The sequence below is a fragment of the Homo sapiens genome, chromosome 1 (assembly GCF_000001405.40).
Source record: "Homo sapiens chromosome 1, GRCh38.p14 Primary Assembly".
NCBI lineage: Eukaryota > Metazoa > Chordata > Mammalia > Primates > Hominidae > Homo > Homo sapiens.
Genome location: NC_000001.11, coordinates 17631766 through 17650159, shown reverse-complemented (window position 1 = coordinate 17650159; position 18394 = coordinate 17631766). Strand labels below are relative to the sequence as shown.

Below are 18394 nucleotides of genomic sequence, written 5' to 3'. Positions count from 1 at the left end.
GGGATTACAGGCATGAGCCACCACGCTCAGTCCCGGTATCCATTCTTATCTGCAATTCACTCTCACACACCAGCCAGAAGGATCCAAAAAATGCGAACTATATATCAAATTGTGCTAGTCCCTAGCTTGGGAAACATCTGTTTCCAAGGCTTTTTACTGCTCTGAGAACAAAATCCAAAGCTGACCCAGCCTGCAAGGCTGGCGTGGTCCAGCTCACCCACCAGCGAACCTCGGGGCCCGCCCTCTCTCCTCCTGCCTCGCCTGGCTTCCCCCACTGTTTCTGCTGCACCCTCTGTGTGGGTTTGTCTACTGGGAATATTGTTCCCATCCCTGGGCTGAATCCTTCTCGCCATTCAGTTCTCAGTTTAAATGCCACCTCCTCCAAGAGGCCATCTCTGAACCTCAGCCCACCCACGTATCTACTGTGGCCCCGATGTCTTTATTACACACCTCACTCTTTTCTATTTCCTTTGGCTTGCTGGGGTTTTGCCTCTCTCTCTCCCTGCTAGGATTCAAAGCTACATAAGGGTTGGGACCTTCTATGTCTTAGTCACCACTGTATTCCCAGGGTCTAGCACACAACAGGTGCTCAGAAAATTGCATGCAGAATGGACAAGTGAACAAATGAACTCATATCTCAAGGATTTGTTCTTTCAGCTGTTTAGATCCCCAGTCTACAGCCCAATCGGCGCATCTCTTGGGGCTCACCAATCTGGGCCTGGGTCCCCAACTGGTGCTCCTATCCCTGGAGCTGAGATGACCTCATCTCCCTGGGAAAGGGGAGGCAGTAATTGCTCTAGATGGAGGGCGAGCTAGGACAGGGTATAAGGGCAGGTAACCCGTGAAGGCTGAACATCCTCATGGTTAAGACCCTGGGTGTTGTGATCAGGCAGGGCAAGGTTCAAATTCTTACTAGCTATGTCCTTTTTGGAAAATCATAGCACCTGTCTTAGCCTTAGTTTCCTTATCTGTGAAATGGATAGAGAAACATCTACTCGCAAGGTTCTTATAGATATTAAAATAAGAGAATAGCAGGAAAGAACCAGGGGGCACAGCAGGTGCTCAATACACGGGAGGCCTGATGGCGCTGGAGCATTCCATGATGAGGGCAATCCCTGCGCCAAAGCCGGCTCCCGCCTGGCGAACCACAAAGCACCCAACCCACAGTGGCTGGCACAGCCGCTTCGGCATGATCTGGAGCCATGCCATCAACAGATGAGATCATTGCTGTTTATTATCTCAAAATAATGGAATTTTCCATTCACTTGACCCACAGTGGTCGTTCGCCTCCATTTTTGTGGTGGGAAAGCTGATTCCCGAAGCAACAAAAAGGCTTGACCAAATCTGTCAGTAAGAATTTAGAAGCCACAGCTGGAACCTGAGCCTTCCCTGCTGTGGGCGCTCCCTGGAAACTCTGGTTCTCCCAGGCGAGGGGGAGCCGCAGCCACCTTCGAGGTCGGCTCAGCAAGATCCGCTCCACTCACCTGCAGGCTGAGTGCCCGGGAGGAGAAGGCAGGGATGCAGCAGGCCAGGATCGGGCACCAGAATGGGGCTTTGCTCTTCTTGTCCTCATCCGGGCATAGCCAGCCTGGCTGGTTCTCCTCCCCTACAGCAAGAGGAAGGAGGTGGGTAGAGCTGGTCAGAGTCCAAGGACCAACTGGGCCATGAGGAGCCCTCCAAGCCCCAGGGAGCCACTGCAGGCCCCAGAAGCCTGGCCCCATCCAGTCACTCCCCACCCTACTCCTGCCGGACTGAGATGAAATCCAGCCTCAGGAGTGATGCCGTGGCCAGGGTCTCAGGCAGGGAGTTGAAAAACAAGGTCCCAGCTTGACCACCCTACCGCTGAACAACCCTGTGCCAGTCACCCCAACTCTCTGAGCCTCAATTTCTTTGCCTAGAAAATAGGAATGCTAGAAATGCCTTCGTCCTGTGGTTGTTGTGAGGACCAAATGAAATAATAGATGTAAAAGGGTTTTTAAAAAATGTTAAGATGCTGAACAGAGTCCAGACCCCTGTTGCCTTGAATTTCTGTTGCAGAGTAGGAGACAGACCATGAACGATCAGAGGACAGGAGGTCGCCATTGCGGCACTCACACTTGACCATGGTGGTGATGGAAATGCAGAAGAATCACACTCCTGCTTCCTTCAAGACAACCCTGAAATTAGGAAGCCGCCTGCCTCCAGTTCACCCACCCTAGCTGGGCCTCAAAGCTCCCAGGGACCCGTTACAAGTACAGATGCCTAACCCGACCCCAGACCCAGGACTCACCACGGGAGGTCACCATGCTAAAGAGCATCTGCTAAACCTCGTTCTCTGTGGAGGCTCCTTTACATGGCTCGGGGCTCTGCTCACATGTCCCCTCCTCCGAGAAGTCCTCCCTGACCACCCTGACTACAGTGGCCCCTTCTCTCAGGAATCACTCTAAAGACCCTGTCTTACTTTCCTCGCAGCCTTCATAATGATCTAAAATCATCCGTGGTCCATTTCCATAAGTCTCTAATATCAAAGCTGTAGTCAGTGGGGGTCTGCACTGTCTCATTCACCACTGTCCCCTGACACCCAGCACACTGCAAGGCACATAGCGAGTGCTCGGAAAACATGGCTGGAAAGAATGAATAAAAGGAAGGAGGGAGGAATAAACCACCGTCTGTCCTGAAGAATTCTCCCTGCGGAGGATCCCTTCCTTCTTTACACTCCCTATGAGGACTCCCTTCCAGCAAGCCCACAGCAGGGATGAGCGTGATGAAGACACCACCTACTATGCACCCACACATCAGGCACCACACTGAGCGCCGCCGTCTATGCCCTGGCTTAGTCTTCACAATCGCTGAGCACAGCCAGAATCATTATTTTCACTCCACAGAGGATGACACTGGCACTCAGGGATTTAGTAACGTGGCCAGGCCACAGCCATGGCTAGGGGGCAGCACCCAGATTCAGGCCTAGATCTGACACCCAAGACTGAATTCTCTGGACTAAACCAGGCAGCCTTCAGCAACCGCGCCCGCTGATGCTCCATCGCAGAGGCCTGTGGGCACGGTGATGCTAGAGTAGCTCTGTCGCAGGCAGCCGGAGCCTGCCCCTCCCCTAGGAGGCGCCAGGTCAGCCGGAGAGTTCCCGCCAGCCACACTGGGGCCCCCTGACACTACAGTCATCTTTGCTCGGCAGCCAGGCCCATCCTGCTAAAACTTACACCTGGCCTCGCCGTTCCCCTGCTTGGAAACATCAGTGGAGTCCCAGTCAGCCCAGAATAAGATCCAAACTCTCCTGGAAGAGCTGCGAAGGTCCCTTCCCTCCCCAGCCTCCTCCCTCGGCCACTGGCTCCACCGTGCTGGACTGTGCTCAGCAACCTCGCCGGGACGGGCCCAGAGGTTCCCGCTGTCCGGAACGCTGCCCCTCACCTCCCCAGGGCTGGCTCCTCTCCTTCTCAGAGAGGCCTGCACCACCCATGTCTCCATGCCCTGGCCTCCACCACCTGTCGTCTCAGCCCATTGGAGGGTATCACACCTCTCACAGCTACTCCCTGCTCCTCCACCAGTGTGGCTCTTCTTCGTTGTGTGCACATGTGCACGTGTGCACGCGTGCGTGTGTGTGCACATGGAGGTAGGCGCTCCCCCACCATGCCAGTGTTCTATGAAGGCCGAAACCTCCCACCCTATTTCCTTCTACACCTCACCCAACCCACCCACGCAGGGCTGGACCCACCACAGACCATCACTACATTTAGGGATATGAACAAAAAGTCTCTTTTCTCAGAGCCTCATTTTCCAGGTTTGTCAGATGTACCCACGACATGAACGTTAATCTGACTCGCTTTCATCAAAGAGATCCTGCCGGGTCAGAGAGAAGGGCTGGACATGAGTGAGGAAGGACCACCCTGAGAGCAGCCCTCATGCCGTCACTGCCCGAGAGAGGTGGCACCTGAATGCTGGCACAGCAAGAGGAGCTGGAATGAGGTGGCAGGTGAGGATGCTATTTGAGAAGTGAAAGACATTCCCAAATGTCAGGCTTGATGATGTGAAGGCGCCAGCACCCGGCGGGCTCACACCCTCCGGCCTGAGTCACTGAGCAGTGAACTCATTCCCGAAATGGGCCCAGAGGCATCCTCCATGTCTGGTCCTCTACCCTGCTGGGCCCTGGAAACAGAGTCATGTAAGACCTGATCCCTGCCACCAGGGAGGAAAGGCCTACATAAGAGACCCTCAGGGAAAGGGCACGACCACACAGGGCACGCGCGTTGCCATAACAGACACTTCTACGTGCCCTGCACCTCACAGTTTCCACACTGCCTCACTGCATCCTCACAGCCATCACGGGAGATACGTCCTTCTATCCGCACTCCACGCTGGCCAGCAGAGGAAAGGGGAAAGCAGGGGAAGATCCAGATGCCAAGGAACTAACCCACGGGGGCGCCTTGCACGGTGCCTGCGACGCACCTTGTCCCGGGGCAGCACGGCTCTCCTAGCCTCTGCTAGTGTGCCAGCGCTCGCCATGCTGCCTCTTGGACAAGCCCCTGGGCAGCAAATAAAGATAGGCCAGATTTGAGAGCTTGTCCCTGCTCTCAAGGAACTTACAATCAAGCAGACCCTCACCTCTACCAGCCAAGAGCTCTGGTCTGGACCCCCAATTCCTCACCCCACAACCTGTAGGAGCTGGGTGAGCGAGCATCTCCCCACCCTAGCCCCTGTCACCAGGGCGCCCAGAGCTCAGCTCCTCTCTTTCCTCCCCGAACACCCATAGCCCATCAAGTCCTGGCAATTTATTCATACGTATTTTTTTTAATGATCTGACCTTCTCCTTCCAGATGGTGCCTTCCCTGCCTGCGACTGGGGACGTTACAAGAAAATGGAGTCGTTGCTCCCCATCTGCCACTGCCATTGTTCCCGTCACAAAACCAGAGTGGCGGAGACCAAATTAGAAGACTGCTGTCGCTGAAAATTGAAAGCCCGCTTGGGATAAGTGACATTAAGAACTGGCACCGACTGCAGAACCGCAATTTCCAGTTGACGCTAAGTGGGGGCTTATTTAGCACCCAGCTCTGTTTGCCAACACCCCCTGGGCATGAGAGCTCCCCATGGGACACAGGGAGCAGCTCCAGGGTTGCAGATCCCCCGCTACCCTCAGAACAATCCCCTCTGATCTGCTAGAAGGGCCCGGGCAGATCCCACCTCAGTCTCCAACTCACTATGTGACACGGAGCCAAGTGCTTACCCTCTCTGAGCCTGTGGCCTCATGTAGAAAATGGGGGAAGGAACGCCAACCATCTGGAGTTGTGAGCACTGGAAATCATATATATCATGACCAGCAGACACCAGGCACTCCGGAAATAGCAGCCATGGTGGTCACTGTCCTCGCTGCTCATGGTCTGACTGTCGCTATTACTGAGGGCAGCTGAGCCCACCGCGGGCCCAGCCCTGCTTCTCCAGCCCGACCTGCCTCCCAGACTCCTACTGGGCTCAGTCCCAGTATCGTGCCTTTACTGCTCTTCCCGAACTTCCCAAACTTAAAGCCACCTTCAAGATACCGCTCACACCTCCCCAGCACCATGGAGATGCTGCTGGCCACAGCCACAGATGTCAGGCTGGGCTGGACCTCAGCAGGCATCTCATCCAACCACCTGTCCCCTACAGAGAGGGCCACTGGTGTCCAGGGAGGCCAAGCAAGTAGCCACAGTCTCCCAGCTGGGGTAAAACCAGGGTCGGACTCCAAGGCCACGCCCTCGGCCCTACTCCTGGAGAGGAGACCCATCCCTTCCAGCTGCAGGGTGTGGGCAGATCCCAGCACCAGCCTGTGGGACAGCAGTGAGGGTTCAAGGACATGCTGAGGTCTAGAACACACTTCACACTCTGCCAGGGCTGTGCTCAGGACCCAACAGCTGGAGTCATCCCGGAAGGAATATTGGCGTCAGTGTGACGACTATGGGCCGGAAAACTAAACCAAATGAGAGGCAGCAAGGGAGGGCCCAGCCCTGCGCTCAGGCTCACTGCCTTGGGCCACCTGGTTATGTCCCTGTGAGTTTGGCATTAGCCATGGCCTGCCAGGCCCATGTCCCCTTGAGAGGTGGGAATGAGAAGGGCCATGGGTGGGAGGAGCTCCAAGGGCCCGGGGAGGGTAAGAGGCAGCAATGCAGCTTTGTGAGCAGAGCAGGTGGTGGCGGGGGAGGGTACAGGAGGGAAATGAGGGAGCCCCCTACCTCACCTCTTCCTTCTCTGGGACCTTCCATCTGCAGCCCTGTTCTGGAGCTTTTACCAACAAGAGCCTAACCGGTAGAAAGAGGTAGGAAGATATCCTGGCCCTGTACTAAATCGCGTGTGACCTCAGAAAGGCCATTCCCCATCTGAAATGCAGACACTCCTTGACCTAGGAGCCCCTCTCACAGCTCCTATGTGCCAAGGGCTGGCTGTCTAGGCATCTTCCATGCACCATCTCCCCACATTTTCACGAGAGCCCTGTGCAGGGGGCACTGGCATTTTCCCCGTTTTCTGGTGGAAAATCCAAGGCATCTCAGAGTTAGTTTGCTGGGATCACAGAGCTGGTCAGTGGCAGAGCTGGGAACGGAACCCACATGGTCTAGCTCCATTTCCCATGGTGCTGAGGACCACCCCTTACTGCCTCTCAAACCTTCCTGTGTGCCAAAGAATGCAACAGGGCCCTTGGAGATCTATTCCAACTCACAAATAGGAAAACTGGGTCTCAGGATGGAGTCTGCCTTTCCCAGGACCACAAGGCGTGGTGGTGGCCATGCTGGGGTTTGAACGGGGTCCCCAGATTCCCCAGGGCTCCCTGCCCTTCCAAGGGGCAGAGCTGATCCCCTCTCCCAGATCGCAGGCTCCCCCACCACATCCCTCTCCTTTCTCAATCTTCAGATTATGATCCTGACACACTGTAGTCAGGGAGGGAGGAAGATATAGAAAATAAAATAAAGGAATAACAGCCTTTGTGAATAAATGTTTTTAACATATTCTATTTCTAACAGGCTCATATTATCATCCCCTCCCAAACCAGCCACTGCAGATAAAAAGAAAAAAAATACTGGCAAAATAAAAGAAACAAATTATTCAAGCCCCAGGGGAACCCAGGCATTCAAATAAGATTTCAAATGACTCTTCTTCCATTAAAACTTTTGCTGCAGTGAAGCTGTGTGGAGATAAGGCAGCCCAGCATCTTCACAGGCTGCCAAGAGCTGGGGCTGCCCGAATCACCGTCTCCCATCCCTCCAGCACCAAGCCCCATGCAGCAAAGCACATGCGGTTCAAACAGGACATTCATCTGCCTTTAAAGCAGGTGTAACATGGGGCTCGGGCACTTCTCAGGATGGAAGTGATGCATGGGGTGGGGAGGGGAGCGCATGGCCCAAGGGGCAGGGAAGCCACATTAGCCTTTCTGAGGGCCAGGATTCCCAAAGTCTTCTGCCAGGGACAGGACAGCTTCTGCTTAAAACACTTTCTGCACCCTCCAAAGGCCTTCTGGTCACCCAGAAACATCCAGCTGAGGTCAGAGCAATATCAGCACTGGATCCAAGAAGGGATGGGCTGAGTAGAAGCCTCTGGTCCAGGTTCCTCCACAGGCAACCCCTCCCCATTCCTGCTCCCACCTCCACACCTGCCCCTCCCATGCCCTCTCCCCACAGCAGCCAGAATGACCCACTTAAATGAAAATCAGATCGGGACACTATCCAGCTCTCAATGCTATAATGCACAGCTTCCCATCATGCCCAGAACAAATCCCATACGGCTCTCCCCGGCTTCCCAGAAAACCTGCCCGCAACACACCCACCTACCTCCCTCCCCTTCATCTGCCAGTGCTGGCCACTCTGGGCTTCCTTCTGTCCCTACCTCAGGGCCTTTGTACTTGCTATCCCCATACCTGGATCACTCTGACCAGATATTTGTGCAGCTTCTGAGGACCCCGCCTCAGGGGTCCCCCAGATGGCAGCCCCAGCCCAGCTCTATGCCCTGTACAGCATAACACCTGCTTGCAGATTTGCTCCCCATTTAATGTCCACCTGCCTGCCCCTCATAAATCTAAGTTCCTTGAGAGCAGAGATCTCTCTGTTTTTGTCATTATTCTTCCCCCATGCCCAAAACTATGTAGAGTCTCAACAGTTTTTTCCATTAATGAAAACCAGTGACATAGGTCCTAACTTCTTTTTTTTTTCTTTTTTTTTTCTTTTTTTTTAAGACGGAGTCTCACTCTATCACTCAGGCTGGAGTACAGTGGCACGATCTTGGCTCACTGCAACCTCCGCCTCCTAGGTTCAAGTGATTCTCCTGCCTCAACCTCTCGAGTAGCTGGGACTACAGACATGCGCCACCATGTCTGGCTAATTTTTTTGTATTTTTAGTAGAGATGGGGTTTCACCATGTTGGCCAGGATGGTCTCGAACTCCTGACCTCAGGTGATCTGCCCGCCTCGGCCTCCCAAAGTGCTAGGATTACAGGCGCGAGCCACCACGCCCAGCCAAAGGTCCTGACTTCTTTCCAGAAATGTCTTTTTGTTTGTTTTGTTGTGTTTTGTTTTGTTTTGTTTTGTTTTTGAGATGGAGTCTGGCTCTGTTGCCCAGGCTGGAGTGCAGTGGCATGATCTTGGCTCGCCGCAAACTCGAACTCCCGGATTCAAGCAATTCTCCTGCTTTGGCCTCCCGAGTAGCTGGGACTACAGGCGTGTGCCAGGCTAATTTTTTGTATTTTTAGTAGAAACAGGGTTTCACCATGTTAGCCAGGATGGTCTCGATCTCCTGACCTTGTGATCCACCCGCCTCAGCCTCCCAAAGTGCTGGGATTACAGGCGTGAGCCACTGCGCCCGGCCTTCCATAAATGTGTTAAAACCTATTGAAAATGTAAGCTTCTCTATAGAAAGATCATACCAGAAACAAAAATAAAAAAACGTTCCTGCTATTGGCTGGCATCGGCAAATGGGAACTGTAGTACATCATAGGGAATAATAGCTCTGTCTGGAGGGGACATAAGCCTCTCACCAACTCAAAAAATGGACAAGTAAAGTAATTATAACTTAATGAATGCAGTCTGCAGACAGACTCTTGCCAAGCCAAGGAAGCAGAATGGATGGGGATCGAGACTGGGCTTTGGAGTCAGGCCACACAGGGTCTGCGGCCCAGATCTGCCCCTTCCTTCTGTGTGACCTCAGGCAAGTCCCCGCACATCTCTGGGCCTCAGAATCCTCAATGGAAAAAGAGATTCTCAACAGACCTAACTCTTAAGGCTACTGTGAATGTGAAATGAAAAAGATGCACAAAAAATACTCAGAAAAGTGCATGTAAATATCCATTTATGTATCTGTATTCATACCATGGGGTGCACAGGAAGAAAAACATAGTAACGAGGTCTTTGGTCTTTGAGAATCAGTATAGTCCAACCTGCATCATTTTTCTGGGTAACAGCTTTATTGAGATACAATCCAGTTACCATAAAACGCATCCTTTTAAAGTGCACACGCCACTGATTTTTGGTGTAGTCACAGAGTTGAGCAATCACCACCATCTAATTTTAGAACATTTTCATCACCTCCACCAAAACCCCTAGCAGTCTAGCAGTCATTCTCCATTATCCTCTCCTCTCAGGTCCCTGGCAACCACTAATTTACTTTCTGTCAAGTTCCATCAATTCCTGGATGGGGAAGCTGAGGCTCAGAGAGGGGAAGTGACTTGTCCAGGGTCACAAAGCAGAGCCTCCGGCTCTGGCCCCAGCTGTTTCTCCACCGCACCACCTCCCTCCCACTCAGAAGCCTCCCTGCCCCCCGCTGACCCCGAACACCCATCCTGTACCCTCACTCACCCCAAACCTCCCCGTTCCACACCCCTGCCCCCTGAGGCACTCTCCCTGGGGCTATACTCACGGAGTCCGATTTTGGCCAAATGTAACCTGTTGACCCAGGAAATCTTGCTCAGGGGGTTGGGGGTGATGAAAACCACCATGAAGCTAATGGGGCGGCCGGACCTGTGGTGAGAAGGGTTAGAGTGGATGTGTGAGTACCCACACAAGGGCCAGGCTCCCCCAGCTGTCACGTAGTACTTCCTCCAACCCACGCGCCCTGGAGATCAAGGAGGTCTGGTCAGAGCATCCCCAAAACGTGGCCAAAGAGGTCAGTGGCTTGGCAAAGCCTCGGTCCCCTGGGGGAGGAATCCCTCCGCCCACAATGACCCCCAGAGGGAGGTACCTGGCCAGGGTGGCTGAGCCACGCTCCCCAGCCTGGCTCCAGGAGCCTCTGGCTTTGTGCCCGGCAGAGCCTCTGCAGGCTGTGACTCCACCTGGTCAGCGGTCAGCTGTCCACAGGTCTTAGACACCTTACATGTCTGACCACGTGCCTCTAGAGGGAGGAATGGGTCTCACTTGGGTCTGTTCCCAGCACCTGGCATGGGACAGTTGCTCAGTAAATGTTTGCTGAGTGGACACAGGAATGAATGAAGAAATGAATGAATCAGGTTAAGCACCAGCTTGGGGCAACCAGAGGTTGCTGTTGTCACCACGCTGTCCTCTCACCTCAGAGCAGTGGGGGCCTTCCCAGCCCTTTGGGAGGTGGGCAGGGCAGTGTCACAAGCCTCTAGGGTGCACGTGGAGAATGAGAGGCAGAGAGAAGGGAGATGGAGGAAGGGAGACGGACAGGCCACTCAACAGGGAGGCGGCAGATTCAAAGCTGCTGACTCCTACACATGGTCCCCTGGGGGACTGAGCCCATGGTCCTACCTCAAATGATAGTGCTCCAACCTTCTCTTCCTTGCAGCCACTGTGCTTGTGACACTCTATCCCCACCTTCACCCCACCCTGGAGGCCAAAACCTGGGCATTGAGCCCCCTCATTGCACTGGCCTGGGCTTCAGAGTCAGACCTCATCAGGACCCAGCTCTGTCTCTCACGATGTGGCCTTCAGCCTCTCCTGAAACTCTGAGCCTCACCTTCCTCATCTGTAAAATGGAAATAAAAAGACCCAACTTACAAAGCCTCAGGAGGACCAGAAAGATCCCGTTCCCTGTCTCTGCCAGGCCGAGCAGCTATGGCTGTCATCAGTTCCACAAACCTCAGTTGGGGTCTACTGTGCACAGCTCCTGTGGTGGGCATTCTGGGGCTAAGGTGGTGCTGGGGGGAGGCTGGGTCCAGAGAGAGGAAACCCAGGGCCTGGCCTGGGGGCCTAGATAGGCTGAAGTGACTGAAAAGGACACAGCGCAAATGGAACTGACCAATGGCAGAGTGTCTGAGTATCCTAACAGTGGGCCAGGCTTATCCAGGACATGACCAGGCTGTTCATTAATTCATTCATTCATTCCACAGTCTTTTCATGAGCACCTACTGCGTGCCAGATGCTATCCCAGACATGGCCCACGATGCCTACATATCCACTCCCACCATGGCATCTCGACAAATAAGAGGGCTCCAGGTACCCTCTCCGGATCCCCTGCTCCACTGGAAGCCCAGCAGAGGCAGCAGCCCTCCCTCCAAGACCCCCTCCTCTCACTTGTCGGGTTTCCCAGGAAGCAGGAGCCTGAGACGGCACTTGTTGGCCGAGTGGATCTCTTCCTCCTTCACCCGCATCAGCCTCTGCAGGGCCAGGCACCAGTCTTGAGCCACAGTCATGTTCAGGTTCTAGGGTTCAGGAGGCCAATGAGGTCACCACACAGCACACTGGCTCCCCAAAAGCCACACCAGATCCTATAGGAATCACAGCACCCCAGAGGAAGAGAAACTGAAGAAGTCCTGGAGCCTCACTGAGGCTGCACATTTAGCCCCACGCAGGAGGCCAACTCGCCATGCCCCAGGCTTCCCAGCCCTGGGCTCAGATCCCACCTGGAGCCCTCCTCTGAGAGGGACATGCCGTCGCAGCCAGCTTCCCCTCCACACTGGGTAGAGGCCCAGGAGGGGCCACATAACGGAATGGCCACTGTGCAGAGAACAAACAAAGGCCCCACAGCCAGGCTCCACTCAACCCAAACCAGAGGATGCGCCCGAACCAGCGGCCGCAAAAGAGACTTCCAGGCAGGGACATGGAGCTTCAGCAGCGACAGTTGCCAACAGGAGCTCAGAAGCTAGGAGCACATCGGGGACATGGGCCAGGAGAGGAGCCCCTCCCTACTCAGCTTTCTGAATCCAGGCACTGCCCACACTGGGGAGCTCAGGCCAAAAAGGTCAGGCCAGGCCACGTACCTGGTAGGTGCCGTGCAGCGTGCTGATGAGAAGCGTGATCTGCTCCACCACGGCCAGGTCCTTCTGCAGGTCCTGCAGCTCCTGGAAGAGGCGTGGGGGGCCGAGGTACACCTTATCTGGGCAGAGAAGAGACCAACTCAGGCACAGGTGAAGGCGCTAACAAGAAGCCAAGCATCTGCTCACAACAAAAAAGATCCAGAGGCTGGGCGCGGTGGCTCACGCCTGTAATCCCAGCACTTTGGGAGGCCGAGGCAGGCAGATCACGAGGTCAGGAGATCGAGACCATCCTGGCTAATACGGTGAAACCCCGTCTGTACTAAAAAATACAAAGAAAAAAATTAGCCGGGCATGGTGGCGGGCACCTGTAGTACCAGCTACTCAGGAGGCTGAGGCAGGAGAATGACGTGAACCTGGGAGGCGGAGCTTGCAGTGAGCCGAGATCACGCCACTGCACTCCAGCCTGGGTGACAGAGCAAGACTCCAACCCAAAAAAAAAAGAAAGAGTTCCAGAAAGTAACATCCAGTTCCTACCCTGACCAGAGCGCCCAGACTAGCTGGGAAGCCAGATCCTTTCAAGAGTAAAGTCTAACACCTGAGATCCAGGCCATAGTCAGTCTGTACAAAGGGCTGTATGAGACCACAAGACCAAGAGCAAGCTGTGCCTGGGAGAGAGGAGGGGCCTGCATAGGGCTGGAAGTGTGGTGGGCACTGCCAGGAGAGAAAGACAAGAGCGTGTGCAAAGGCACTGTGGCTTGAGGCAGCCCATGAACAGCAAGTTGTTCAAAGACATCCTGAGGACCTATCGTGTGCCAGACTCCATGCTAGAGACTGGAGACAGCAGTACACAAGACAGACAGGGTCCTCATTCTTCCGGAGCTTATGACCTTGGCAGGACAAGTGGCGGAGGAAGCAGTCAGTTAACAATGGTGGGTGGTAGGAGGTGGTGGGGAGAAAGATATCAGTGTGGTGGGACAGTGATGGGGTGAGGGGGCCCAGATCACCAGTGATGATACAGATGGAGTAAGGGTGAGATGGGGGTAGGGGGTGGCAGGTAGAGATAGAGCAGGAGGGTCCAGGAGGACCAGATGGGGAAGGCCTTGAACGCTAGGCCCCTGGGCTAGGAATTTGGACTGTATTCTCTAGGCCGTGGTTTTGCACACTGAGGTCTTATGAAGCCCCAGGGGAGTGGAGGGGAAGCCTTATTTGGGGTTTTCATTTAGATAATTATCTGAGTCACCTGTGTGGAATGAGTTTAAAGCCACACTCTGCTGCCTGATATCAAGGCTTCCATGGACTATGGCACCTGAATGGTCACCTGGTAACAAGCAAAGAGCATGGCGAGCTTGGGATGTGGACAATGTGCTCACATCAGAGGGGCTCTGCAGTGACCCAAACTGGGGAGCTCATGGGAAATGCAGATCCCCACAGGGCACCCTGTGGCACAGGCACGAAAGCGCAGAGGAACCTGCTCTACCAGGGCCTGAGCCACATCCACACTGTGAACAAATTGGTTTCAGCAAAACAACATCATCCATCACATTACATTAATGCTGTTAATTTGAATGTTATGGTTTTGTAGCTTTATTTTTATTCAATTTGTGATTTGGTGTTGGTTTTATGGTTCTTCAAGGGCTATAAGCAGAAGGAGTTGATTACAGGGAGTTTTGCGTTTGTATATATTTGAATAACAATATAATGAAGGGTTCCACAAGAACTTCTTTCCCCTTTCGAAGGGGTCTGGCAGTACGTGACTCTGGTTTGAGGAATGCGGCCACAGACACATCATTGTCACCGAAGGAGGGATCCCCTAAGCGTCCCTGGAGTGCATGAAGGATGCTAGACCGCATGACCAGCAGAAAGGAACCCTGTGCCCCAAGCGGCGGGGAGGGAGTGCAGTTGAGCCAGGGCAGAAGGTGCCTCCGAGGAAGGCACGTGGGGCAGAGGACTCTTCCTACCCAGCAGAGCTGAGGAAAGAGACAGCATCTGGAAGTGGGCACAGCTGTCACGGACCAGCACCCAGACGGCAAGAGTAGGTGGTGCAATCACTCCCTCAGAATTTCCAGAATTGTGGGTGGCCCATGAGGCAGCCTCCTGGGTCAGACAGCAGACAGAGGGGGAAGTGAAACCCCAGTGCCTTTCTCACCCACAGAAGATGCCTCGGGCACCAGGGTTCCTTTCTGCTGCAATTTAGCATCCTGCATGCATTCAAGGAACACTTATTAATGCCCACCGTACCCTAGGCTCCTGGACAGAGCTGCAGCCAGGCTGAGAGGAGAGACATCAACCGATCAATCACCCATAAAGGGGAAAATGTACCAGAGGTCTCGAGAGCACAGGAGGGGCGACCTGGCCCAGCATGAGGGCATAAGAAAAGGCTTCTCTGAGGAAGTGCCATTTGAGCCAAGAGCAGATGAGACAAAAACAGGATGGCAGGAGAGTACTTGGCAAAAGGCACAGGCTGGAGAGGGCGTGGTGGGAGGGAGCATGGCCCATCCAGGAGCCCAGAGGGGCTGGCATGGCTGCAGCAGAGAGAAGGGGCAGAGGGAGGTGAGTGAGGCAGGTGGTACACCCTCAGGACCGGCAATGGGAAGCCACTGGGGCGGGATGACGTGCACTGATCTGACCTGCATTTGGAAGAATCAGCCCTGGGGATGGGCAGAGGATGGACAGGGAGGGGGCCCAGGTAGGAGGAGGGAGGAAGAGCAGCCAGGTAGCTGGCACAGCAGGACAGAGTGTGTGGCAGCCAATGTGAAGGTGGAGCAAAGTGTGTGGATTGGGAGATGCACCTGCGCACACCCAGGTGAGGCCATGGCTCTGCATTAAGGTCCAGGGTGGGGCTGCAAAACCAGCAAGAGCTTCCTGGCCAAGCCACCCATCAGCCTATGTAGGGGTCCCCAAGACAGGGCCAAGCCTGGGTAGGAGCAGCCCAGGCTGTGGCTGGTGAGGGCGAGGGTGACGAACGCAGGGCACAGAGAGGGGGTACTCACTCTGAGCCTGCCCTGAGGCAGAGGCCTTCTTGGCGCCTGAGTGCTGGATGAGCACATTGTCCTTGTCATAGGTGCCACCGTCCTGGCCCACCTCCACCACCTGCACCTGGGGCAGCGCCGTGTTCCACTTCACCACATACTTGGGCCCCAGGGGCACCAGGCTGCTGATCTCCAGCTGGCCCCTGTTGGAACAGAGAGGACAAGGCCCTGGAGAGGCTGCAGCCACCCTGCCCCAGGGCTGGCCCAGGGCATTGCTCCTCCACACCAGCTCAGCCAGGCTTCACGCAGCCCCAGCGCAAGACCTCAGACCAAAACCAAGCCAGGCAGAGCAGGGATCCCTCGCCAGGGTAGAAGCACCAGGCGCCCAGGCCCCAGCCCCATATCCAGAATCACATGGCACCAGAGCCCCAGAGCCCCAGAGCCCCAGAGCCCCGGAGCCCCCTGAACCACGTACCTGTGGTTGGCAGGCCTGGGAAAAAAGACAAGAAGGAAAGGGAGATTGTTATTACAATGGAGTGGCTAATCTGGGGGCTGTGACCCCGCTGGGGGCCAGCCATGGGGCTGGGCATCGGGAATAGAAGGAGAGACAGCCTCCTGCGGGGAATGAGGGCATCAGAGGCCAGGTGTGGACAGAAGCGGGCCTTCCTTCATCTCTGGGTCTCACAACAGCCCCGCTAGGAAGCTTAGATGATCCCAGACAAGGACACTGATCCTCAGTCAAGTGAAGTGACTCAGCCCAAATCACCCAAACTGATTCCCCAAAACCGGGCCACTAGCACCCCACTTTGCACTTTGCGCTAGAGCAACATGAAGGCAGAGAGGGTATTCATCATACCGCCGGCACCACACGGTGCCCAGGATATAAACGGGACTGAAGAATTACCTTCTTTGATTGAGTGAGTGAGTAAATGAATGAATGGGTCAGCCATAAGCCCTGCCCAGACCCATGTGTGACAGAGGCTTCCTTGCCTGAGTCCCCAACCAGGCCCTGAGCTCCCGGAGGCAGGGGCTGGATCTCATTCTAGGTGTGAACTGGCACAGAGCCAGGTCTCGGACTACATTCAATGGATTCATAGACGGGTGGACAAATGGGTGGATGGTGAATGAGTGCACAGGTCCTGAAACAGCCCTGCTTGTCCCCTTCCAGGACTCGTGATCGGTAACCATGGAAAATCCCCAAACCTACTCTGTGGCCAAACCCAGGAAGGCCCAAGCTGACTCGGTACAGGGCCTAGAACTGATTCAGCTGGGAGGCGGGAGAGCTATGCTGGGATTCACATTCCACTGAGGTGATTGTTTCCCTCCTGGATTTCGGTGATGGTAGCCATACTATTGCTTCTGTGATGCTTTTTAAAGTGGTGTCGAGGTGGGGCACGGTGGCTTACGCCTGTAATCCCAGCACTTTGGGAGGCTGAGGCGGGCCGATCACCTGAGGTCAGGAGTTTGAGACCAGCCTGGCCAACATGGTGAAACCCCTCTCTAATAAAAATACAATTAAAAAAAAAATTAGCTAGGTGTGGTGGCACATGCCTATAATCCCAGCTACTCGGGAGGCTGAGGCAGAAGAATCACTTAAACCCAGGAGGCAGAGGTTGCAGTGAACCGAGATCATGCCATTGCACTCCAGCCTGGGAGACAGAGCAAGATTCCATCTCAAAAAATAATAAAATAAAATAAAGTCTTGTCAAATATTGAGAGCAGAGGTTCTCCTAAGAGCCTGGCTAGAAAAACCACAGCTGAAGTTCTCAGGGAGTATTTGATACAGGGTCCCCTGCAGGACCAAGCAGGGGATGCGAGCAGGTGAGCTGGGCAAAGCAGAAAGGCTGGAGAATGGCAGGGCCCAAGCCCCAGTGCCAGGCCCACGTGGCCTCAGGCAGCCAGGCCCCAGAATGTCAGATCTCTCCTATGTCTCACCCATGGTGTGGGCTCCCTGTGTTAGTAAAACATAAGATACCCAGGAGCCTAAAGCAACTGATGGGCCACATCTTCAGGCTCTGGCCTAAAGCCTCACCCTCACCCCACACCAGGGCTCCGGCTCCCAGGCACAGCCCAGCAGCCGGGCTTTGGGCATTTCCACAATCCCCGGCCCAGAACCAGCAAACCAGGCTCCTCTGGGCCGATGATGATGCTCCGGTCTGTGGGGGAAAGGCAAAGGCTCACACTGAGAAATTCTGCAATCTGGCCAGAGCAAAACAGATTTGAGTTAAAGCCGCAGGGATCTGGGGTAGACACAAGGAAGAATCTCTTGAATTTCAATGTGGACAAAACCACTGTTTAGTCACCAACTGCAGAGTTCCAAAACAAACAACTCTGTACCATGGACAGCTGTGTGCCCGAGGCTGAGGGCTGCCCCCGATGACTGCTCCAGGTACTTCCCAGCGTTGGGGACCAGTGGCAGAGCAGGGCAAGAGGGATGGGAGAGGAATATTGGAAGCCTAAACCAAGCTCACATGGGGTCCCACTGTAGTGCGGCCGGCCAAGAGACTGGAGTAGGGCGGGATGGGGTCTCCAGGGAGGGGTGATTGCCCCCTCCAACCCAGGCCCACTTACTTGAAGTTGATGTTGGCACAGACAAGCATGTCGTTGAGCAGGAAGACCCGACGCTCCTTGGACTTAATTAGCTGCCCGCGGTCACCGTACACGGTCTCCGTCAACGTCTCACACAGGAGCAGCTGCCGCTGGCCTGAGGTCAACAGCTGGAGGAGGGGCAGGGAAGGTCAGCATCAGCATCGCGGCCCGGCGGCTTTACCGCGCCGGAGACCCAGAATCCTCCCATGGTGCAGAAAGGGAGACTGAGGCTGGGAGAGGTGGAGGAGATGAAGCCACTCCCTCCATCCCTGGGTGACAAGATGCACTGGGGAGGAAGACCAGAGGACCACACATCGGGGCCTCCTCTCGGAGGCCATGGGGAGACTGAGCATTCACCAGCACCCGTGTGGGCCCAGCAGCCAGTGCCCCCTTCTCAGGTGAGCCAGCCATTGCCAGCCCCTCTCTGTAGGGATTCTGCCTGATTGCCACTGCCAAGGACACAGCTCTGGAGTTACAGAGGTGGCTCTGCCCCCATCCCCACTCCTGCTGTGAAGCCCTTGGGCAGGTCACTTCACATGTCCAAGCCTTAGTTTACTCAGCTACCAAGTGGGGGCAGATACCTCTACTGCTCAGATCACACAAGGTAATGAACATGTGACCGGGTCTGGCTACATGACTCTTGCGGTCCAGTGCAAAACGAAAACACAGGCTCTTGTTCAAAG

The 18394-nt window shown here is 54.8% G+C and overlaps 1 protein-coding gene across 43 annotated transcripts in view, besides 1 other annotated feature; it reads right to left on the bottom strand.

Annotated features, from left to right (window-relative positions):
- The window catches only part of ARHGEF10L (Rho guanine nucleotide exchange factor 10 like), a 184441-nt gene that overhangs the window by 47716 nt on the left and 118331 nt on the right, over positions 1-18394 (bottom strand). For 18 of the 43 annotated variants that reach the window (XR_946686.4, XM_024448061.2, XM_006710728.1 and 15 more), the window contains 7 exons: positions 17694-17839; positions 15598-15612; positions 15144-15325; positions 12157-12272; positions 11471-11598; positions 9858-9958; positions 1485-1606 (listed from right to left, as the gene is read on the bottom strand). Coding sequence is in view for 39 of the 43 variants with exons in the window: in XM_024448061.2 (XP_024303829.1) it covers positions 1485-1606; positions 9858-9958; positions 11471-11598; positions 12157-12272; positions 15144-15325; positions 15598-15612; positions 17694-17839 (810 nt within the window). In the remaining 4 variants the exon portion in view is untranslated. Of the gene's footprint in view, positions 1-1484; positions 1607-9857; positions 9959-10178; positions 10923-11470; positions 11599-12156; positions 12273-15143; positions 15326-15597; positions 15613-17693; positions 17840-18394 lie in introns of those variants that run through there. The other 25 variants (XM_047424111.1, NM_001438940.1, NM_001438944.1 and 22 more) reach the window with 7 other exon arrangements.
- Positions 1545-2046: an enhancer, noted in NCBI's record as "H3K4me1 hESC enhancer chr1:17974609-17975110 (GRCh37/hg19 assembly coordinates)". NCBI's record gives its function as "activates a minimal SCP1, AML or CMV promoter by ChIP-STARR-seq in primed H9 embryonic stem cells {active_cell/tissue: H9 hESC(primed)}" and the evidence as "EXISTENCE:reporter gene assay evidence [ECO:0000049][PMID:30033119]".